The sequence below is a fragment of the Homo sapiens genome, chromosome 15, assembly GCF_000001405.40.
Source record: "Homo sapiens chromosome 15, GRCh38.p14 Primary Assembly".
NCBI classification, from domain to species: Eukaryota; Metazoa; Chordata; class Mammalia; order Primates; family Hominidae; genus Homo; species Homo sapiens.
In genome coordinates this window covers 32,950,604-32,975,566 of record NC_000015.10, presented here as the reverse complement: position 1 = coordinate 32,975,566, position 24,963 = coordinate 32,950,604, and the positions used below count along the sequence as shown (strand labels likewise).

The following is a 24,963-nucleotide window of genomic DNA, read 5'->3' as shown; positions in this document are numbered from 1 at the left end:
TTTAGTATGTCTGCTCTAGTTTCAGTATTAGTCTGTAAGTAATGTCTAACAGTTGACAACTAACAGGTCTTAAGAGTTTGCTGTGTATGGGAATAGCAAAGAGAAAAGGATCTTTATCTCTCCTTAAATTTTTTTGGAGTTTCACTTATAAATGGATGGGTAATGCAGAGGCATGAAGAAGTCTTAATATTTAACACTAAAGAAATCAATAAGCATTTGTGGATGGCTAACTAGGCAAGCAGTGTGTGATGCTCTGGAGGTTCAAATATGATTAAATTGTGGTCCCCAACTGCCTGGAGTTTTTAGATTTGCAAAGAAGATAAACAGAAATGAGTATAATGCAACATGAACCTAGAATGTTCTTTGGAAACAAAAAGGAATACTTTTGTCAAGCAGAATTAAGAAAAGTTTAAGCCAGAAGATTCAGTTGAGCTTGATTTCATTTTTTTCAGGGCTTTCACCAGGCGAAAATGGATAAAAGGTTCTCTAAGTAGATGAAACAGCATGTGTGAAAGAGTGAAGATATGAGTGTTGGTTATCTGTAGTGGTATAGCATAGGAAAAGAGCAGGGAAATATCTGGGAAAGTAGGCAGAGGCCAAGTTTTGAAGAGCCATGAGTATCATGGAAAGAATTTAGGCTTGTCTGCTGTGTAGAATAACTATTCTCAATCTAGACAATGAAGGAACATTCCCTTTATTGGGCAATCACAATTAGGAAAGGGACTTTACCAAATAACACATTACTTTGGAGATTCTGAAATGACCTAAGTGAAAGTCATTGCCAAAAGAACCCATTGATATTGTGTTGTTTTACTATCTCAGCTGTGTTAGAGCAGAATACGGATTAAGAACAGTTGTTGTTGATTTCACCTCTGGCTCCCATTGGAATCTCTTGCAGTGCTTTAAAGACACCTGTGCAAAGGCATCATCTCAGATTGATTAAATGAGGGTCTGTGGGGATGGGCCTGAGCACCAGTGTCATCCACAAAACTCTCCAGGTGATTCTAATGGGAGCAGGGCTTGAGAACCACTTTATTAGAAAGGTAAAAATTGTGCCACTAGGAAAAAAGGGGTAATCAAAACAGGATGGTTTAATTGGCATTGTCCTCTCAAAGCTAGTAAGTTTGAATCTTTCTTATTAAGAGATGGACATATATTATAACAGACTATTGCAGGTGAGAAGAGGATGTGATTAAAAATGAAAGCAATTGAAGCAAACAAATTAAGAGTAAAGGAAGGTAGGTAAAACTTAAAGACTGGAAAGATATCAAACCTCAGCACCTGTCTCTTTTCAAATGATGTATTGGGGTCAAATCAGCAGATTTTTAGCAGGAAGAGTGAGAGAGGGGAAATCTTGAGACTTTCTTTATATGTCCTAAAGAACATTGGTCTAAAAATAAATGGAGGGTTTATAATTGGATACTGCTTACAAGCACATGTTCAATGTATAAGTAAAGTTAACAGGATATAAAGGCATTTTGTTTCCTTGACCTGGCATTATCTGTAGTTTCCTTTGTAAGGGACTGGTTTTGACACTTCCTGAAGATTCCCAGGATCCTGGGCAAAGATTGGGAGTACATGATTATCTAACAGAACGTTCTACTCTGTATTAGAATCACCAAATCATTACCAGTCTTTCTAGCTGTGTATCTGGATAAAGGAGGGGGAACAGCACATAATATCCAGGTACAAAGTGAAGTGGTACTAACAGGAAATAAAATTAAAAATAGTGTTTAAAGATTAGCTTTCCCAAAACTTCCATGCATGGTATGCATGAACTTGAGATGCTTCATTTGTAATAGAGTCAGACACAATTTGAAATAATTGGTATGATATGGACAGACAGAGAATGAATGAGGTGCTTATTACTTTAATCACTTTGAGTTGCTCTGCCACACTGAGGTCATGAACACAACCAAGACAAAATTGTAATGATCAAGAGAGATTATGAAACAGGAAAGGTCAAAGACAAGTGTTTTTTTGGGGGGGGTGAGGGGCAGAGAGAGGCAATTAAATTTTAGTGATCCAGAAAGATTTCTTACTATCATTGCAGCATATTGGTGTATGGTACATGGAAATTCATTGTTTTCCTTCTTATTTGGTCATTCTCCATATCAGTGAATACAGTATGTGAGGAACCCATTCATGGAGTCTGTGCCTGGTAATCTGCCCCCTACCTTGAGTGTTTGCAACAGAGGAAGGGTATTGGAAGAGGACAGTATTTGCAAAGACCCAGATGCATGAAAGAGCATGGACCTGTTTAGGAAACTGGAATCCAGGGCATATCTGGGGAAGGGACAAAAGCCAATAGTGGAGAAGTTGGTCAGAAAACAGATCAGAAGAGCTGTTGATGTGTGTGTGCTAAAAAGTTCATGTTAGTCTGCAAGTAAAGCTAATTATTGAAGAGATTTTAAGGACTAGGGATCTGCATTTATTTATTTATTTTTTCAAAATCTTCTTGGAACCAAAGTGGTTGAATTTGAGTCAAGAAAATGCTCATTGCCTTTGTCCAGTGAAAGATTGAGGTGGTGGGGGTGACAAGAGAAATCAATAACACTTGACAAATAGCATGTTGAGGATGAGAGAGAGCAAGAAATTCAGCATGACATCAGGTTTCTGGATGTGCTGACTGGAGGCGATGAGGCATTAATAGTGAGGAGGAATTTCAGAGGAGGAACACATTGGGGTTCGGCAACAATGAGTTCACTTTCCAACCTGTTGGATCTGAGGCAGCTGGTTAAATATTTAAGTAGATTAATCCAGAGGATACTTGGAAATATGATCTCAAGGTACCAAGTTTGAAGGTACTCACCTGGTGTCATTTATATGAGTATATGAGATCATCTAGAAAGATTGTATAGTGTGATAAGGAAAAAAATGGCAAGGAAGATGCCAAGAGAACCACACTTAAGGATGAATGAGTCTACAGATTGACTAGGGACAGCAAAGAAGTAGGAGGAGAACAAAAGGAGAGAGGTGGAATCGAGTTCAGGGAAGCAGAATTTCAATGCTTGTGCAACAGTCAACTCTTAACAAATGTGGCAGAGAGGTCAAAATCACTGAAAAGTGCTGATTGAATGCAACAGTCAAATCATGGAGTTTCAATAGGATGGGGGAGATGAAAGCCAGTAATTGGGTGAAAGTGAATGAATGACAAAAATAAAGCATGGGTCAAGTGCTTTTTTCAAAAAAGTTCTGCTGCGAAGGAAAAGAGGTAGGGTTGGAAAGTGCCATAGCTAAAGGAATTTAAGAAGGATTTTGGTATGTCTATTTTTGCTTTAGAAGCATAGAGCATGTAGACAGTAGAGGGCATGGGGCTGGGAAGCGTACCCAGAGCCAAGAGCAAGCTAATGGGGCCACTGGGCTCTGATCTGCCAGGCATTAGAGAGAGAATAATAATGACGGCAAACTGAAATAGCACTTACTATGCTGCAAACACTCTTCTGTATTTTCTTTTACGTATATTAATTTGCCTCCCTGGCATATCCGCTCTGTCAGGTACATTTTATTATCCCCATTTAGCTTACAAAAAAAACTGAGGTACAGAGAGGTGAACTTAACTGCCCGATTTGTGTTCTGCCCACTACACTAAACAAATGCCTTACCTCAGAGCTGCTAAAATGATATATAGCTTTACATGTCAGCTTCAACAGATTTAGAAGATCGTTGACAGAGTGGTAGAAAGAAGAGGAGGTGGGGCCAGGGCTTTTGCTCTAGATACAAGATTTCATCTTGGGGAGTTTATAATCTGATAGGGGAGGCAGAAACTCAATAAGTTCACCAAAAATATTTCCCTTATTAGGGAAAGTTTCACCATGCAGTATGTCTTTGAAACTCTTTCATATCATTAAGAAGTTGAGGATTGAGTAAAATTACTGCTTCTTGAATATTTGATTCTTAATCTTGAAAGAAGGTTTAGTTGAGAATAACAGCTGAGAGTTAGTTTGTTGTGACAGAACCGAACTAGTCATTAGAATGAAATTAAAATGTGGGTAATTCAGGGTGGTAATCAGGGCTAAGATGTGGGTGGAAGTGGACAGGAAAGAGAGAGAGAAATGAAGATGGAAATGATACGATGTTGAAACAAAGATTATCTCGATCTCACAGTTGAGTGAAGCTCGAAATTACTTAGGTAATCGGTAGTAGAACTCACAAAAGGCTAGGTAAACTTTGGTATTTGCAGTACTTTGCTTATCCTGATTTTGAGCTTTTCCTAGGTTTATGCCTGTCCCTCTACAAAGGTAGCATTGTCTGAAAATTTTAAAAAATAATTAGGAATTTGTTAGTCTCTTGCTCTGCTATTAGCATTAGCATTAGCAACAGAAACTAACAGTAAGATTTATCCAAACGTTTCTGTGTTCCAGGCATAATGCCTACTATTTTATATGAAGTATCTCATTTTACTTTTATAAAAGTCCTAGAGATGGCTATTATTTATACTTTACACTTGAAGATACTCAGGCTTAGGGACACAGCGTTCCCTGTCTGAGGTCATAGAACTCGCAAGTGCCTAAGCCAAGACGTGAACCAGGTGGTGTGAGTCCAAACTCGGCACTCAGCGCTCTGCACTGCACGAGAAATAGACGGTGTCCAGAGCTAGCCCCTTCCCTCAGAGTTGGCTCAGACCGTGTCCACATATGAGAAGATGAGCCTTCGAAAAACTTCGCCTTTCAGTTCTCCTGACTATAGCCCTTTAGGGGTTTGCTCTTGAGAATGAATATTAGAGAAAAGTTGAACCTAGTAAAAAATAGTTAAAAGTTATCTTTTTTTTTTTTAACACCAGACAAATGGTAGATCTCTTCATAATTCAATCTGCTGAACTATGCAAACATCATAGTATAAAAGTTATCTCAATGAAGGTAGATGAGCTTCCTGTGTGTATACCTTTCCCTCCAAGGCTGTTAAAATATTTCTTTACTTTTTCAATGCAAAAGGGAGCTGTACTTGTGCATGCTTTAGGTGTTCTAGATATTTGTGCTGAAATTATAGTGAAGAGAGTCTTGATAAGGGAGGCTCTTGGGACAGTGACAATGACAGTGAATATAACTATCCCAGTGATTTTTATCCATCCATTGCTGCTGAGGTATGTACTTCCTGGGCTACCTGCTGGGATACAGATAGAAAGACAATACTGTCACCAGTTTCATCTTGTGGAGTTTATAATCTCATGGGGGAGGCAGAAATTAAATAAATTGACAAAAAATATTTAATTACTGTTAAACTGGATTTTGAAAACTCTAATAAAATTCTAAATTTGCTTTCCAATTAACTGTAATAGGATGAATAGCTTTGAATGCTGAGGAACGGGCTGGTTAATGACTGCGAGTACACTAGCTCTGTGCTAATAAGTGTACAATTACAGACTCAGTGCATTAAAATAACTGAGGCAATAAGCATTAAAAAGGCTACTACTGTCTTATATACTTTAAAGTGCTGTGTAAATAGAAGAAAATGGCATACTATAATATCTTCATTATTTATGTTCTCTGTTCCTTATTTATTGCTATATTATGAAACAGACACAAATACTGATCTTGGGCTGCTTTTATAAGGAAACTTTAAAAAAGTAAGTTATCGTGGCTTCTTCCCTTGCTTTCTGTGTCTGCTGTATTGTCCTGGAAACTCAGTGAAAGAGACATTCTGGAAGACTGGGAGAACAGCTCTAAGCCAGAGGAGCTCTAAACCTATTTTTTTCTTTATAGTTTTCTTTTTTGAAACCAACCCGAAAAGTTGTAAAACAGATAGATATTCAAGCATGTCCAAAACTTTATTAAAAGTTTTGTGTTTGATATGCAAATTGGGTAAGAGTTCTTAAGTAATAGATGTACTTTAAGCCTTAATCCATGAAAATTATCTCCCGTGAGCTCAGGCTGGTTGAAATTGTGCTTTGACTCCTGCCTGTTTAGGTCCCTGGAAAATTCAGAGTGCAATTTACACCTTTATGGATTCTTAAAAGAATGTCTCTGTATTTCCCTGCATTTATGTGGGCCATGCTACAGTGGCACCATGATGGTATTATTGAGTTTCTAAATTCTTAAGTTTGTTCTTAATAAACTCATTACTTTCTTTCCCTCTGAATTTTCCTATAGGCACAGTTTGAACTTCGGGCATTTCATATCCGGGGCGAGCATGCAATGATAACAGCGAGACTAGAAGAAACCATTGAAAATCTGAAACACGAGCTAGAACACAGATGGCGAGGGGGTTGTGAAGAGAGGAAAGATGTGTGCATTTCCACCGATGATGACTGCCCTCCAAAGACCTTCAGAAATGTGTGCGTCCAGACAGACAGAGAGACCTTCCTCAAGCCCTGTGAAAGTGAAAGCAAGACAACCAGAAGTAATCAATTAGTACCCAAAAAGCTGAATATCTCCTCTTTAAGCCAGCTCTCACCCCCAAATGACCACAAAGACATCCATGCAGCACTCCAGCCAATGGAGGGCATGGCATCAAATCAGCAGAAGGCATTGCCTCCGCCTCCCGCATCCATCCCTCCCCCTCCGCCCCTCCCCTCAGGACTTGGATCTTTGTCTCCCGCACCTCCAATGCCACCTGTGAGTGCTGGGCCACCGCTACCACCTCCGCCTCCTCCACCGCCACCTCTACCTCCACCTTCAAGTGCTGGACCTCCACCACCCCCACCCCCACCCCCACTTCCTAACTCCCCTGCCCCACCCAACCCTGGAGGGCCTCCTCCTGCTCCACCACCCCCAGGACTTGCACCCCCACCTCCCCCTGGACTCTTCTTTGGACTTGGCTCTTCTTCCAGTCAATGTCCTCGAAAACCAGCCATCGAGCCCAGTTGTCCCATGAAGCCTTTATATTGGACTAGGATACAAATAAGTGATAGGAGGTAAGTTCTCCCCTATCCCATTCTCAGCATGTGAATTCCTAGGATTTGGCCCAAGTGATATTTTATTCTTACCGGGTCAATATCTCCATAGTGTAGCACCCATTATCAAGTGTGATACAGTGAATGCTTGGATAAACAATGTTGGGATGTTTGGGGAGATTGTCTGTCTCCATCAGGGCCTCTCTGTATTCTCTGAAGATGCTGGGAGAAACCATGTGTTTCAGTGTCAGATTTTTTTCCAAGGCAAATGTTCCATTTTACAGACTAGACAAGAGTCCGGATCTAAGCCAAAGCTTTCCCCAACATCACTACAATTGATTAGTAATCATAAAGAATTGAACCTGATTTCCATACTGTAGGTTCACTGAGGATTTTTAGAATTCTTTTTACTGTCTTGTTTTTAAATACTATAATCAACCCTATAATCTAGATATTTAACAGAAATGGGTGTTCTTCAGTTTTTATTAAAAGAATGAGACATGGCTAAGTTATTAGTTCTTTAGATCAGAGGAGAGTCTTAAAATACAAACTCTCTCTGCTTGAACTCTGTTTCTTTTAACTGCTAAGTACTCTCACATCTTCCTTTATGTCTTGATGCCCTTCAGAGAAAGTGTCAGTATGTGGATAGCTGAAAGCATCTTCCATTTGTATAGATTGTTAAGCTGGGTTTGTAAAGCAGCAAGATATAGTTGCTTGGAAACATCCATTCAAACAGATTTGAGTGTGATTTGTTCTGCCTTATTTCTGAGCCTGGAAGGAGGACAGTGAAAGAGATCTTAAGTTGTCTCTTGACCACTTTCTCCTTTAAAGTTTGTTTGTAAAGGACAGCAAATATAGGACACATTTTACAGCTTTTCCCAAGTCATGTGGTAATGCATTCTTCAATTTATATAACACTTTGCTTAGGCAAGGCAGGATATGAAACAAAATAACACACAACTCACAATGATAAAACAACCAGAAATCCCTGTGGAGGAGTGGGGAATACCCTAAAACTAAGCATATGTGCTTCATATTTTCCCCTTTCCTCTCACCAAAAAATAAGGGCCAAGAGTTTGTTTTTGGAACATCCTGATACTTCTTTTTTACAAAATTCAATTATACTTTGTAATTTCCCAAATGAATGGTTCATAAAAAAGTGAGATGATCCTGTAATAGCTTCTGCCATTAACTAAAGTACTAGTATTCCCTTTTTCCCAATAAAGACTCAGACATTTCCTAAAAAATCATTTCCCAGAATATTTATTTTGAGTCATGTTTCCGTATTAGTGTTCTCAAATTAGTGCACAGCCATTCCAGGGCAATAGCTCCCACCTGTAAGCCCTGGACGAGTGTGTCCGACAGCACGGGGAGCTGTTCCACACCTGTGTCCCACTAGCCTGCCTTCACTTCCTTCCCTGAGAGACTTCATGAGCAACAGGTAACTGTGGACCACAGCAGCCATCAAAGAGTCCCACTGGGAGATGTGGGCCCTTCACCCACGACCACGGGAAAGCTGGAGACAATCATTGTCTACATTGTTTCCTCCTCATTTAGTTGGCCGTTTTGAGAAGAAAAGCAATTGAATACTGAAGGTCTCACTGGTTTCATCATAAATCTAGGGCTTTACTTTTGAGCAAAATGAAAAGTAGATGAATAGGACATCAAGAGAGCCCTGCTTGGTGCGCATTTGAACCTGAAACATAACACGGGGGGCTGCCCCTCTATGATGTGTTAAGACTGCAACACGGGCACTTCCTGGTGGTACCACATATTCAAGTTCTTTTATTATGGGTCCCTCCAACTTTTTGTACCTATTAGCACTACTGCTTTTAAATGAAAATGACTCAAAGAGCCTGTGGAGTATTTGCTTAGGAGCAAAAGTGCAATTATTTGGGATACCTTCTCATAAAGGAGGCAAAATCATATTTTAATATTTTGTGCAACTAGAGGATTAAGTAGTTTATATAATGATTGCATCATAAATGTTGGTCTTGCTCTTCTGGGAAGCCAGAAACAAAATGTGAATTTTCAGCATTATGTGTACACTGCCTCTCATCTACCTAAATTGCTTTTGACTCCTGGTATGAACTGATTTTTTTTCTTTTGACGTTTTGCCTTCTTGGGTGTCTCTTTCGTGATTTCTAGAATAAGCAAGAGACACTTAAGGAAAAATAAATCCTCATCTAACTACCTTTTCAGCTTCTTAGTAAGTTTCTCATTTTCCTCCTCCTCTTTCTCTCTCTCTCCCCCTGCCTTCCTTTTGAGCTAGAATTGTATGTTCAGTGGTCAGTTGACCACCATGGCAGGTCATTCGTTGGGAAGCACGTCCTTATTATTGCCCTACCAAATGCTGGCTGTCCCAAAATCACTGAGAGGCAGTGTTCCAAAATTCTTTCATTCAGTATTGGAAATACCTTTCCCATAGAAATAGTGTTGTAAATGGTGATCAGGTGCTTAAACTGATCACGGTTGACTCCCAAAGCCAATTTACTCCAGAATATAAGTGAATTATAATACTAGTTACACTGGCCTGACCTCAGAGTCCGTGGGGCTAGAGCCAAGCAGGTGCAGGAAGTGGGGATGGGGCTGAGCAGTTGGCCTGACACTCTGCATCACTTCACTCTAGACGTCACCCCTTAGCTGCCCAGAACCTTCCCAAGGCCCAGACCAGTGGCCCTTAACATGCCGCATGCTCACTCCAGAATTCCCAGCTGACTTCCTTCTTCAAGATCCTACTTCTCCCCCGTCTCCCCCAGCACCACAGAGATAAGCACTTAACATCCGTGGTGCTTATGCTTCAAGTTGAAGTTAAGTGAGTAGCAGAGGGGTATGGCTGAGAGAGGAACACATACATGGATGTACTTCACTGGAAATGTTCTAGCCCTTGGGTTGGGTAATGGTTTCCCAGGTGTTCATTCTATTGTTATACTTTATAACTTCCATATGTCATACTATTACATGGTTCAACTATTGGCGAAATCATAATTTAAAAAATAAAAAGTAGAGGAGAGAAGAGGTGAATGTGGCCAAAACCAAAATGTCATATATCATGGGAAAGGCAGATCTATTGCAAAGTGTGAACACGCAGACCTGAGGAGCCAGGGCTGCCAACTGTTTTAAATACCAAAATCACCTGTAGTATTACAAAATTCTGTGGACCATTCCATGTAATAATAGTTATCTTTTTAGTTTTCATTGAGAAAATAGGTATGGAAATAAAGCTATATACTTTTAGATGTTATGGATTGTAACATATACCTATGTTTGATAAACAATAAGTATATAGATGAAATTTGTGGGCATTGATAGTATTTATTATTATTATTATTTTTGAGATGGACTCTTGTTCTGTTACCCAGGCTGGAGTGCAGTGGCACAATCTCAGTTCATCGCAACCTCTGCCTCCCGGGTTCAAGCAATTCTCCTGCCTCAGCCTCCCAAGTAGCTAGGATTACAGGCACCCACCACCACGCCCAGCTAATTTTTTGTATTTTTTAGTAGAGATGGGGTTTCACCATGTTGGCCAGGCTGGTCTTGAACTCCTGACCCCAAGTGATCTGCCCACCTCAGCCTCCCAAAGTGCTTGGATTACAGGTGTGAGCTACCATGCCTGACCAGTAAACATTAATAGTGTTTGAAATTAAGATAAGAAAGTAAACATTTGGGAGATGTGTTCTGACTGAGGGAACCCTGAGGAGTGACCACTGGAGTCAGCTCACGGAGGCTGTTCTGTTACGCCTGATTCTCAAGAGCTTTTCTTCCCTTCAAAACTAGGGTGCCCCTGTTTCTGGAAGATGAAACAGCCCAGTTTCCCTATGGCTACTTTAGATGATATCCCATGAGGTGCAATGGAGGAGGTTTTTGGTTGGTTTTTGTTGTTAGTATTGTTTAGGGGACTGAGATACTATGAATCATGTATTTTAAAATAGGCACAGCCTGTTTACATATTAAGGACGCTGCACTGAGTTTACCTGCATGAATCCTAAAAACTGTATTTAAAAGTAGTTGAAAAAGTCCAAAGAGGAGGCAGGTCTTTACTTCGGTACTCCATTTTCAGTCTCCTTCAGAATTAGCCTGTCACAGTCTCAAATTGGTTATCTTCTCAGCCTTTATATGATGCCCATTTTTACACATCATGGAAATGCCACAGGCTGAGGGAGGAGCAGCTTGGGTGCCCCCAGGAATCCGAATCCCAGGATTTCTAGTCCTAAGGAGTTTCTGTAGAGCTCTATCTTTGATCGTAGCTAATGACAATTACTTTTTTGGAAATACGTCTGTGTGTGTTTTAATGTTCTATAGTATATTTTGACTTTAACAAATGCGTAACATAAAAAGCTTTTCTCCAAGCATTATTAGAGTTTTATGTGTTTTTTTAGAAAAATGAAATTAAAAAATGGATTAGAGAAAGATTTCATTGTATTACATTCCTTCCTGTTTTGGTTCTTATGGTTAACTTGTCATTTTCTCTTTTAAGCCAAAATGCTACACCAACCTTATGGGACTCCTTAGAAGAACCTGACATTCGGGACCCCAGTGAATTTGAGTATTTATTCTCCAAAGACACAACTCAACAGAAGAAAAAACCTCTGTCAGAGACTTATGAGAAGAAAAACAAGGTCAAAAAGGTACTGAGTGATTATGGCAAAGCTGTAATTATATATTATACAGGGAAATGGTATATATGTGTGTGTGTGTGTGTGTGTGTGTGTGTGTGTATCGTATATACACACACACACATACCTATACATATATGTGTGTGTATCATAGGAATTTATTACATATTCTGTGTGTGTGTGTGTGTGTGTGTGATTCATAGGAATTCATTACATGCTGTTGGTGCTTTCCCTGGTTTCATGAAATGTTTCAGAAGGTTTTGAGTGGCAGATGGCAAAGGGAGCCAATAGTTCATGAAATCTGTGCCTGCTATTTTGGCCATATCTTCTGAATTTTCAAAATTTAATCTGGACTTTTTCAGCCATTAATTCTGTTGAAATAAAAATAAAATTTAATTTGTAGTTAGTGAAAGTAGTCTACAGGTTATATGGAAAATAGGTTTTATTTATAAATTCATTCATTTAACAAGTATTTCCTAGGGGTTTACCATGCTAGGCATTTGTTCCAGGCCTGCAGTATCCAGTATGGTAACGTGGCTATTAAATAATGAAATTAAATAAAATAATTTAGTTCTTTAATTGGACTAACCACCTTCTTTTTTTTTTCTTCTTCTTATTTATTTATTATACTTTAAGTTTTAGGGTACATGTGCACAATGTGCAGGTTAGTTACATATGTATACATGTGCCATGCTGGTGCGCTGCACCCACTAACGCGTCATCTAGCATTAGGTATATCTCCCAGTGCTTTCCCTCCCCCCACCCCCCCGACCCCACAACAGTCCCCAGAGTGTGATGTTCCCCTTCCTGTGTCCACGTGTTCTCATTGTTCAGTATCCACCTATGAGTGAGAATATGCGGTGTTTGGTTTTTTGTTCTTGTGATAGTTTACTGAGAATGATGATTTCCAATTTCATCCATGTCCCTACAAAGGACGTGAACTCATCATTTTTTATGGCTGCATAGTATTCCATGGTGTATATGTGCCACATTTTCTTAATCCAGTCTATCATTGTTGGGCATTTGGGTTGGTTCCAAGTCTTTGCTATTGTGAATAATGCCACAATAAACATACGTGTGCATGTGTCTTTATAGCAGCATGATTTATAGTCCTTTGGGTATATACCCAGTAATGGGATGGCTGGGTCAAATGGTATTTCTAGTTCTAGATCCCTGAGGAATCGCCACACTGACTTCCACAATGGTTGAACTAGTTTACAGTCCCACCAACAGTGTAAAAGTGTTCCTATTTCTCCACATGCTCTCCAGCACCTGTTGTTTCCTGACTTTTTAATGATTGCCATTCTAACTGGTTTGAGATGGTATCTCATTGTGGTTTTGATTTGCATTTCTCTGATGGCCAGTGATGGTGAGCATTTTTTCATGTGTTTTTTGGCTGCATAAATGTCTTCTTTTGAGAAGTGTCTGTTCATGTCCTTCGCCCACTTTTTGATGGGGTTGTTTGTTTTTTTCTTGTAAATTTGTTTGAGTTTATTGTAGATTCTGGATATTAGCCCTTTGTCAGATGAGTAGGTTGCAAAAATTTTCTCCCATTTTGTAGGTTGCCTGTTCACTCTAATGGTAGTTTGTTTTGCTGTGCAGAAGCTCTTTAGTTTAATTAGATCCCATTTGTCAATTTTGTCTTTTGTTGCCATTGCTTTTGGTGTTTTAGACATGAAGTCGTTGCCCATGCCTATGTCCTGAATGGTAATGCCTAGGTTTTCTTCTAGGGTTTTTATGGTTTTAGGTCTAACGTTTAAGTCTTTAATCCATCTTGAATTGATCTTTGTATAAAGTGTAAGGAAGGGATCCAGTTTCAGCTTTCTACATATGGCTAGCCAGTTTTCGACTTTCCAATTTTGTTCTTATGCCTAGTGGCTGCTGTATTGGATAGCATAGATGTAAAACATTTCCATTGTATAAAAAGCTCTGTTGGACAGCACTGTCTTAAGCATTGGTATGTGTTGAGGGCAAAAAATAAAAGTAAAATAATAATAATAATAATAATAATAAATCCTTGCCCTGTGGAGCTTATATTAACAAACACTAAACATAAACCCTGTCAATCACATAGTAGTGCAGGGGAAGGAGGGTCGACTTTAGTAGGGTGGGGGTGAGGTCTGCAATTTTAAATGGGGTGTTCAGGGTAGACCTCATTATGACGGTGGCTTCTGAGTAGTGACTCAAGGACTCAAAAACTTGAGAGGCACCAGCTTTCTGTAAGAGAATGAGTTTAGGACTGTCAGGCAGTCAGAGACAACCATGAGGACGAATCACACCTCTGCCACACATTGACTGTGAGATCTGAGGCAACGGTACTAGGTCCTTTCACTCTCTGTGTCTGGGTCCCTGCACCATAGCCTGAGATGATATCTGCTCATAATGTTCTCTAAGTAATTATTCAATGGGGTAATCCATGTATCAGGCTCAGCATAGTGCCTGGCTCACTGTCAGTGCTCAACATATGACAGCTGCTCTTGTTTTTGCTACTGTTACTACTACGGCTACCATTTCCCTGTTTTAGTGGGTTTTTGTTTGGTTGGTTAGTTTTTCTTATTTTTAATAGTAGCAGAAATGGTGTTGAGGAAAAAGTATAGTACTCTGTGTTGCTATTGACTTGCTATGTGAGCTTGGGCTGGTTGTCTTCCTTGTCGTATTTTCCCTTCTCTATAAAAAAGGATTACAGGCCGGGTACGGTGGCTCATGCCTATAATCCTAGCACTTTGGGAGGCTGAGGTGGGTGAATCAGCTGAGGTCAGGAGTTCGACACCAGCCTGGCCAATTTCGGGAAACCCCGTCTCTACTAAAAACACAAATATTAGCCAGGTGTGGTGGCGGGCGCCTGTAATCTCAGCTACTCGGGAGGCTGAGGCAGGAGAATCGCTTTAACCCAGGAGGCAGAGGTTGCAGTGAGCTGAGATTGCCGCATTGCACCCCAGCCTGGGCAACAAGAGCAAAACTCCGTCTAAAAAAAAAAAAAAAGATGAACAATATCTGAATCTACCTGACCCACCAGTATGTTGTGAAATTCACATCTAAGCAGGTTTGAGGCAGTGTTTTGAAAAGTATGTAATATTGAATGATACCATCAACCCTGCCTTTTTTTTTTTTTTTTTTTTTTTTGAGACGGAGTCTCACTCTTGTCATCTAGGTGGGAGTGCAATGGTGTGATCTCGGCTCACTGCAACCTCTGCCTCTGGGGTTCAAGCAATTCTCCTGCTTCAGCCTCCCGAGTAGCTAGGATTACAGGCATGCACCACCATGCCCGGCTAATTTTGTATTTTTAGTAGAGACAGGTTTTCACCAAGTTGGCCAGGTTGGTCTCGAACTTCTGACCTCAGGTGATCTGCCCACCTCACCCTCCCAAAATGCTGGGATTACAGGCGTGAGCCACCGTGCCAGGCTACGTTTCCTTGTTAAATTACATCATGGGGTTCATCATCAGTTCATTTCTCAAGTAATGTAATGATTATGAAATTAGCTGCAAATTACAGGGGAAAAAAGGAAAATGTCTGAATTCAGTTTTCTGTTAATCAAATCAGATTTTCCCACTGACTTCAATTACGGATAAAAATCATGATCAAAATGTTTCTCAAGGTCACTGTAATTGTGTTGTCTTGAGAAAAATATCCAAAGAAGTATTAAAGGAAAATTTTAAAAGGCTATATTGCATGGAACAATTTGAATTTTTCTAATAAATTGGCTCTGTGACCCCACCCAAATATCATGTCAAATTGTACCCACGTGTCTAGGAGGGACCTGGTGGGAGGCGATTAAATCATGGGGGTGGATTTCCCTTTCTGTTCTCCTGATAGTGAGTGAGTTCTCACGAGATTTGGTTGTTCCATAAGTTTCTGGTGCCGCTCTCACCCCACCCTCTCTCTCCTGCTGCCATGTTGGTAGTATCTTTATAGCAGTGCGAAAATGGATTAATACAAATAGTAAGTTCCAGACAAATCCGGGCAAAAAAAGGTCAGCTGATTTACATAGAATGTATTCCCATGCAATTAGATTCATATGAGATGGAGGTAAGCCTGCTTTGTAGCCAGGCTGGCTTTTTAAATGCCATCTATAGAAGCAGAAGACTTGTTTCTACCTGAATGGCAAAAGGAAAATCTGTATATTCCAAAGCCAACTTCAGTTTGCCTCTTTCAGGAAGGCTTGCCTGAACTCACCAGAATCTCCTCTGAATGCTTTCTTATGCAGGATCGTATTAAATTTACTTTTGTTCTTTATTGCTTCTTAGATTGCTATTACTCTTTTTGTTTCTCTCCAGATGCTTGAAAACATGTTGTTTACTCATAGAACTATTCACTTCTGTTTTGGTGAATGAATATTTGTTTTTAAACATCAAAGCATTTGGTCATTTATTATTTCTTTTCTTATAATAGTTTGCCTGTTCAACAAAGGAGTTTAAGGCAGTTAGTACTTGATAACATTTATTTTGTTTCTCTGTCTGAGGGGGAAAATAACACTTCATTTAAACTCTTTAAGTTTTCTGAACAGGGTGGTTGCCATTGCCCCATGGAATCCGTGCACTTGTGTAGTGCTTGCTTTTCTCTGTAAGTGGAGGCAAAAAATTGGGTCTACTGAGCTTTGTGGTAATATGCAGCTTAGAGTTTTCAGTGAGCTTTGTGTCCTACCTTAGAGCTGAGGTTTTAAGTTTTAAAGAAAATAGCAAGCTGAATTGATGCCAGAAAACTCCAAACCTGCCTCCTATAATCTTTGCTCCATGCCTGTGGCCAGATTTCCAACATCAAGATGGATCCCTTGGTCTCTTCTGAGAGTCAGATGTTTGTTTTCTTTCCTCTTGAAAATGAAAGTGGTTTTAGAGGTGGTGAGCAGCTGAGGAGTTTCAGCATTGAAGGCCAACTCCTTCAGCTGGATCATGGAATGGTTCCCATATGAGAAGACCAGGAGGATACTTGCCAGATAGGTCTTTTTATAATGACTGAACAAGAGAAAGTGCTGGGTACATTACTGGATTTCAAAATCCAGAATTCTGAATCTTGGCTATAGGGCTTCAGCCAGCATTGAAACGTGAATATGAATGTCTTTTTTTTTTTTTTTTTTTTGAGACAGTGTTTCACTGTTGTCGCCCAGGCTGGAGTGCAATGGTGTGATCTCGGCTCACTGCAACCCCCACCACCCAGGTTCAAGCCGATTGTCCTGCCTCAGCCTCCCAAGTAGCTACGATTACAGGCACCCACCATCACGCCCAGCTAATTTTTATATTTTTAGTAGAGACGGGCTTTCACCACATTGTCCAGGCCAGTCTCAAACTCCTGACCTCAGGTGATCCACCTGCCTTGGCCTCCCAAAGTGCTGGGATTACAGGCGTGAGCCACTGCACCCAGCCATGAATATCCCTTAAATAGAGCTGGTCTTCATCCCTCAGCACATTTCACGTTTGTATTTCAGAAGTAATGGACAGAATGATCAAGAGTCTGTGGAACTCAGATACTAATTTCTAGCTTCAACTACTAAAATAGTATTTAAATTTCATATCACTGGCACTTGTTTAAGCATGTATGTATGTATGTATGTATGTATGTATGTATGTATGTATATCTTCTCAAACTAGGCAGGGATCCTGTTCTGTAATATCATGTAGTCTAGGAATTAGAAGAAATCTTACCCATCATCTTATTTCTCTCATATGGCACATAAGAAACTAAGACCGAGAAAGATAAAGTGACTTGTAGGGGTTTGTACACTTTTAACTGGGAAGACATTGATGATGATGAACACTTGTTCATCAGCATGTGTCTGCATTTCCCCTTTATTTAAATGGTAACTTGCCACCTTGGTGATAGTATCAACTTTTATTCGGGTGATTTATTTGAAGTTTATGAATGAGAGTAGCCATTATTAAAAACATCAACAAAATATAGCCACACTTCTGCATATCCAAAGTATTTCCTACATTGTGTAATTATCCATGGTTTTCTTCAGAGTCTTCCAATAGGAAGCCAAATCTTTGAGTAAAAAGATGTGCTTTCTATGTAACTCCAGCAAAAGGCATATATAGATTTGGAGCTGGTGTTTTTCTTTGACCTTATCAATTCCATTTAAAATATTAGCTATAATAAAATAAATTTATTACTAATTATTACAAATTTATATTGCATACTTAGATAGGTGCCATTCTCATTTGTGATACTAGACCACTCTGCCACGACAAACATGGCAGTAACCAAATTAAGAACCAGAGCTCAAGATACCAGCTGTCAATGGAACCACCACCACTTGCTACTATCTCTTATTTTTTTCTTTCGTAACATTCAGAAAAAGTCATTTAACCTTCTCACACTGATTTCTTCTCTACGAAATTGGGAATAACACCCCCTTAATATGGTTATTATAAGTATAATATGAAATTATAAGAGTACGTTAAGTATTCTTTGCATTAATCTCTTAGTTTATGAACTAATGTGAAAGCTTTGGAAAGAAATTCTTAAACATCTTTGATTCCCAAGGTTTTTAAGGTCTTAAAGCATTAATGTGTCAATTCCTAAAACTATTTGCAAATGGGAATCTCTAGATTATTCTTGTTTGTTGATATTCATGGAAGTATCCCACAACTTCCGTTAGTGATACATTCGGACATCTAGTAGTACATATCGTGTTTGTATAGTCTCTTTTCACTGAAAGATAAAGAGTTTCCCCTGTCAATATGTCATATTTACACTGTCTCTAAGTGACATTTGTTCCTGAGCAAGGTAGGTCAGCACCTTGACAAGGAGCCAGAAATCCACCTTCATTGTCTGTGATTCTTTCTCCTGGTTCCTGTAAAAAAAAAAAAAAAAAAAAAAAAAAAGAACTGCTCTGATAAACTTTCCAATTGTGTTTTAAACTTGCCCAACGACATTCTGAAAATCAGCATGATCTGCCAATATTCCTCCTTTTTTGAGATGCCATGATCTGACTAAATTATAAATCATCTCTGTTTGTTTCCTCTTCTGTAAGATATGTAAAAGGATTCCTCTCTCCCCGTCTCCCTCTCTGTCTCTGTCTTTTTAATAGATATTTCTTAAGAATTAATGAGATAATGGCTATTCCCCAAACACTTTGGGGGAAGGGGGTTGTGATGGTTCAGCAGATACTAGTCTGTTGAAATTTTGTGGTGCCAAAAGCCTTCAGCATTGATTGTAATTTGGTCACTTTGGCAAGGATCATAGCTGTAATTCTCAAATCCCAGACTTTATGTCTCAGTTTATTGGGGAGGGGAGAAGGGTGGAAGAAGAACATTGTTTGGAAGCCTGAACATAAATTTATAGGGTTTTCATAACCTATTGCTTTCCAAGTTTATATTATTTCAGCTTTGGTGTACAAAGATAATTTCTCTGGGCTCCCTCGGTGTAAGGAATGTGCGTTAGTTTTTTTATATGAGGGTGGTGATAGGTTTGTCTACCCCTTTACGTTTTTCACGTGTTGACAACTGAGCAATGGGGTTAGGGATTATCATCTATAGAAGTGAGTGAAATAACTTGCCCATGTGTTGATTGTACTAATATATGACCTGGGGGCCTAAACTAGCGCTCTGTCCCGATTTCTTGAGTGATATCTGGAATGATCAGGGCTTTCCTGTTCTTCAGTTTAAGGACTCCTGACTGGCCGCATTTACTGAAAGGAAACAGGAGCTCCATGACAGGCACCAGTTTACAAAAATTCCACCTTGTAAATTTTATTTGGAAATGAGACAGCCCCAGAAGTTGTACGTTTATTTTATTTGCTTATTTTTTTAAAAAAAAAAAAGAGTGGTTAGGACTTGTCAAATATGAATATCAATGATTCTTTCAGAATGCTGCATCTGAGTATTATTCTTGGAGTTCAACCATGTTTCTCTTGTTGGCTGTTCAACAGTAACTTGATCTGGATTTGTGTCTCCAGCCAGCTGCATTTAGGATGCTCTTTTCCTACCCCACACCACAAGAGGGCACCTTAGAATGCTGAGATACAAAGATAAAAGTTGCATGGATCCTAGAACCCCCAGAACAGGAACCTGGAAGAGAGTAACTGCCCCCAGCTCTCTCTTTAGTCTTCTCATATCTCTATTGTGGACCATGAGGCCAAATTTCACAGCAAATTACCCACACAGAGTATTGGGAGTCAATTGCATATTAGAAAGACTTGAAGGTATTAGCAGAAAAAAAATCATTAGTAGCCATGGTTCCAGTGCTTAGAATGAATGATTGCAGTATAAAAATATATGGAATATTAGAGTTAGCGTCTTTGGGACTGATTCTGGAATTCCTTTCTCACCACACACACAGACACGTGCGCGCACGCACACACACACACACACGCACACGCACACACATCTTTAAAATCTTCCATATCGGAAGAGAGTGAAAAGCAAAAGTTTATTTGAATATAGATTTGGGGTTATCTGTTTGGAAAACACAAAAAAGTACAGGATATGCTATGAGAGAACCATTCTAAATATTTATGCTTTAAAAAATATTTATCTTCTCGTTGAGGGAAGTTTTGAAGTCTCGCCTATATTTTCCCAAATCTCATTCATTTATCCTCAATCCAGGCCATTTTCTGAGATTCTGTTACGGGGTTGGAGCTAGACAACAGGATGAGGCTGAGCGCCTGTGCTTGGGACCTTGATGGTGATAGTGAGTCCTCTGGCCTTCAGTTCCAAGCTAGAAGTATGTGAAGATGTAACAAGAATAGGGAAAGATCATATATGTATACTTCGGTTGCAAGTCCAGGTCACATGGATGCTTTTGAAGGTGAACTTGTAAGTGCTTTGCAAAATACACACATCTCCCATGTATGTGATAGTCAGAACAGCCCCTGCACATGCCCTCACAGGCACATGCTTAATATGAACAGAGAAGTCTCAATGACCTTGGATTTATTTGATGTCATTCAAGTGGAGATTAAAAAATAAAGATATCACTAGTAGTGCCACTGCTAAATGAGGAATTTTGGTTAAGTGCCTGTCATATATTAACTAATTTGATCAAAAACCCAGTGAGACGGTTCCTATTATTGTTCCTGTTTTATACATGAGAAAACTGGAGTTTAGAGGGGTTGGGCAACTTGCGTAGTACCACATAGTTCTAAAGAGCAAAGGAATGTTTCCAGCAACAACCCCACAGCTTATTTTTTTGTTTGTTTTGAGACAAAAAGTCTCACTCTGTTGCCTAGTCACTGCAACCTCCACCTCTCAGGTTCATCAAGCAATTCTCATGCCTCAGCCTCCAGAGTAGCTGGGACTACAGGCACACCTACCATGCCTGGCTAATTTTTGTATTTTTAGTAGAGATGGGGTTTCACCATGTTGGCCAGGCTAGTCTCCAACTACTGACCTCAAGTGATCCGCCCACCTTGACCTCCCAAAGTGCTGGGATTACAGGCGTGAGCCTCCGTGCCCAGCCTTGTGTTGTTAATTACTTGATAAATGGGCATTCGTCTGCATTTAACTGCAAGTTCTGACTTTAAATTCACTTGGCCAAGACTGAATTTTATTTTTTGGTCATTGTATAGTGAAAAAAGTGCCCAGCTTTGGTGTCAGTAAACATAATTTCTAATTCTGACTCTGACCCTAACCAAATATCGAATCCCGAACAAGTCCTTTAAATTCTCCGATCTCAGGTTTCTCATCTGTCAAAAGATAAACTTTAATTATATGAATTCCAAGGATCTGGTCATGACTTCTTTGCAGATGAAGACACTCAAGATCTGCCAACTTTCATTTTATTTTTAGAAGGCAGATAGATGAGGGTATTACACATTGAGCAATATCTTAGCGCTCAGATCCAGGCCTAATCAGATGGATAGAGCTGTCTCAAACCATCAGTAGCATATTGTATGAGCCATAGGTACATGGGGGTTCAGGAAATAATTGTTCTGATTTTAATAATCCCCCAAATGTAAGGTATATATATTGGAGAGTTATTTTTAAACAAACCAAGTTTTTTATGTAGTGGGGGTATTGAAGTACTGGAAATATGATAGAGAAAACTGCAGTGGAAATTAGCAGCCAGAGATCTCGTCTTGAAGGTAACTATTAGTTGTTGTAGTTGTTGTATGTCCAGTCATGTAACCCCTCTGACCTTAACTTCTATACCTAACATGGCATCTGGAGTGAAAATTTGCAAATATGCTTTCCAGATGCAAAATCTCAGAACTTAGCTGAATGTGGATACGTTCCCACATACATTTTTAAACTGAGTGTGTGTAAGATTGAAACAGTGAATTTAGATTTTTACCTAGTCAATGAGCGGCATGGGATATACTGCAAACCAGACTCAAACCACAATGTTCCCACCTTCCGGTATACAGTATTCTCTCTTTGCAGTTGTCCTTACATAACAGAAATGCATTTGGCGGCAGCAGCCAGTGGTGGAACTGGCCAGCCCCCGTTGTGCTGGGGTGGCCCTCCACCATTTTTTCCTCCGTCTCCTAGCAGAGTTTCCACGGTCGAGAGGCCTGGAGCTCAGGTTACACCAGACAAAACTGTCCACTTACTTCCTAGGATAGTCTGGCTGGACCCCAGTGCTATGGCCACACTTCCAATTTTTGATAAAATACTTTTGACCCAGAGCTTCATTTCATTTAGACCTGACCTGATTTCCCTCCAGCTGAGGCTAATTTGCATGGCTGTAAACACGGACCTTACAAAGCTCACCAACTGTGATAAAAGCAAAGGAAACCTGAGACCATTGGAAATTCAAAAATCTGCCTTCTGTATCCCAGCCTGACTCTGAGTTATGCCTCAGCCCAGGAGGCTTCCTGTGTGCAGCAGCTAAAAAAATGTTATTCTGATTGATCTGATTAGGGCAGCAAGGTTAGCCATGGTCAATTTACAAAGACAGTATGAGAAGAAATCATGTGTGTCGTCATGTTATGGGTCAGCGAGGCCCCTGCCAGAAGTTACGAAAAGCCACAGCTCTGCCAGGACCATTATCAGATCTCCTAGGTGGGGTACAAACGGGATTGGAGGTTTAGGGGGCCCCTCCAGTGGAGTGAATGACAAAAGGGATTGGACTCTGAAGAGCGGGTGAATCAAATCATGCTCGCTCGCTTCCAGCTGGATTTCTTAGCCGCCAAGCCCCTTACATGTGAGTGGGAGAGCCTGGGAGTTCCCCAGTACAGTGTGGGGAGGACTGCCTTTAGCTTCTCACTGCAAGGGAAAGAAGAGGGTGGAAAAGCTAATTTGACACGGACGTGAGACTCTACGTTGACCCACAGAAGCAGCCAGATGGAACCTATTGGGCATTTTGATCCCTCCCTTCGCCACAAGAGTAGTTTAATTGGGATCTGGCTCCAGGCCCTTATTACTAAATAACCTGAGTTTTCGTGTTTTCATTTTCATTAATTAACTTTCATGCTAGGTGCCTTATTAGTCGCATTAGGCATTTTGCATGTCCAAAATATCTTAGGAGGTGAGAAGGAGGTCTTTAAAAATAGTACAGAGCTGCAAGTACCAGGGGGTTAATTCATGGCCGCCTAATTATCACATCACTTTTTACTCTCTTGTGGACTCTGTTGTACAACTTCCTTAGTTTAAAATATGCACAAAACCCAGCTTTAAACTTTGTTTTCAAACGGTTATTACATTCATATTGACTCTAAAGATTTTGGAGCCTTCACCTTGGGTGTGGTTTGCTTCCTTCCTGTCCAATTCGGGAACATAAATGTTCCTTGCAACACTGGGATAAGACACATTAATTAACAAAGAAAGATTTATATAAAATGAGGCCAACTGAAAGCTATACTGCTTGAGCTGGGGCTCATTATAAATAGATCACTCTGTATATAATCATCTTACTAATGGAAAAAATGAGACGTTGAGATGGTTGCTTGGAGAAGAATGTGATTCAGAATGTAGCAGTAAAACGCCTAAAGCATACTTTGTTTAGAATGCTTTAGTAAGACATTGGAGAGGCTTGGCCATGATGATGTTTTTGTTGTATATACATATACTCTTGGGGTGTGGAGGTATCTGAAAAACTTAGCCCTATAAAACCCAGCCATTCAGTTGCCACTGCAGGAAAGGATGAGCCTCTGAGGCTGAAGGTGCATGGAAAAGGAGGTAGAACTCACAGACCTGCACAGAGAGTTCATACCTATGAATTCAAGATCAAGCTGAGATCTGGGCGTTTGCCTCAGAGCCATAGGAAGCCAGTGACAAGGCTGTAGCAGAGGGCTGAGCTCCAGTTTCTGACCAGCTGCCTTCTCTAGCATGCCCAGTGTGGTGAGAGTCACCACTAGACTAAGTATGGAAGGTGGTAGTGTGGTAGGGCAGCAGGGGCTTCTTGAACCCCACAGGCCTGGCTGAGTCATCATTCATGGGGCAAGTCCCTTCATCTTTCTAAGGCCCCTTCGTACAGTTTTCTCATCTGTAAAGAAAGAGTAATATTAATGTCTGCTTCAAAGGTGGTTGTGAAAATTAAAATGTAGTATGTGAAATGTTTGGCCTGGGGCTTGGCACATCAATGGTGCTTTCACTATGCTATTACCACCATCATTGCCACCATGAGAACTGGGAATAAGAATAATGAAACATCCTCCAGTGTCATCCCAAAGGAAAGCAAGAGGTTGAATTTTAACCAGAAGCCTCATCTCTCATTCACTTATGGTTCCTGGACCCCAGGGGCTGCTAGTTACAATCCATTTCCCCTATTTGTGTGTGCGTGGATGTGTGTGTGTGTGTGTGTGTGTGTGTGTGTGTCCCACTGGGGCGCAGCTATGCAGTTAAAGCAAATGAATTTTAGCCAGATTCTCAGAGATGAATTCCTTCAGTGTGTACCAAGAAAAAACCACCCAATGCAAGGAAAAGTTTAAAATGTATCTCCATTTTCTAGTTCTATTTGTATTTTGCTTTCATGGTAACCTGTGTTTGTGATACAATTTTAAGAATGCCAGCTATTGGCAGGTAACATAATATCACCTTTTTAAATCTTTGGAGAGCATGATAGTCTATAAATAAATAAACATATGTAGAATGACCGATTTTGGTAATGTGAGGCTCTTAAAATATGAAGTTATTTTAGGTTGGTTTCTTTATTAACAAATAGACTGCATTAACTTTCATACAGTACTTGATTAAATTTTATCAACATAATGCATGAATAGAATTTAAAAAGTCAAGCAATATTAAGACTTTAAAAAAAAAAGCAAAAGTTCTCCAAATCTCAATAAAATTTCAAGGAATTTTTCATACAGATCACATCTGCTGATCAAAATGAAATTAAGTTAGGAATCGTGTCAATAACAAAAAGATAACTAACAGTATTGAAAACTACATTTTTTAAACTTTTAAGTCCAGGGGTACACGTGCAGGTTTTTACATAGATAAAGTTGTGTCATGGGGGTTTGTTGCATAGATTATTTCGTCACCCAGGTATTAAGCCTAGTACCCATTGGTTATTTTTCCTGATACTCAACCTCCTCCCACCCTCCACCTTCTAATAGGCCCCAGTGTATGTTGCTCTCCTCTGTGTGTCCATGTGTTCTCATCATTTAACTCCCACTTACAAGTGAAAAAATGTA

At 39.9% G+C, this 24,963-nt stretch overlaps 1 protein-coding gene and 1 non-coding gene across 17 annotated transcripts in view; one reads left to right on the top strand and one right to left on the bottom strand.

The window, feature by feature from the left end:
- The window catches only part of FMN1 (formin 1), a 429,171-nt gene that overhangs the window by 219,148 nt on the left and 185,060 nt on the right, over positions 1-24,963 (top strand). For all 16 annotated transcript variants that reach the window (XM_011521509.4, NM_001277313.2, XM_011521504.4 and 13 more), the window contains 2 exons: positions 6,090-6,853; positions 11,310-11,460. In XM_011521509.4, the coding sequence (XP_011519811.1) occupies positions 6,090-6,853; positions 11,310-11,460 (915 nt within the window). The remainder of the gene's footprint in view (positions 1-6,089; positions 6,854-11,309; positions 11,461-24,963) is intronic.
- On the bottom strand, positions 4,776-4,840 carry LOC124900367 (small nucleolar RNA SNORD77). The gene has a single exon (XR_007064818.1). It is a non-coding gene; the product is annotated as a small nucleolar RNA SNORD77 (small nucleolar RNA).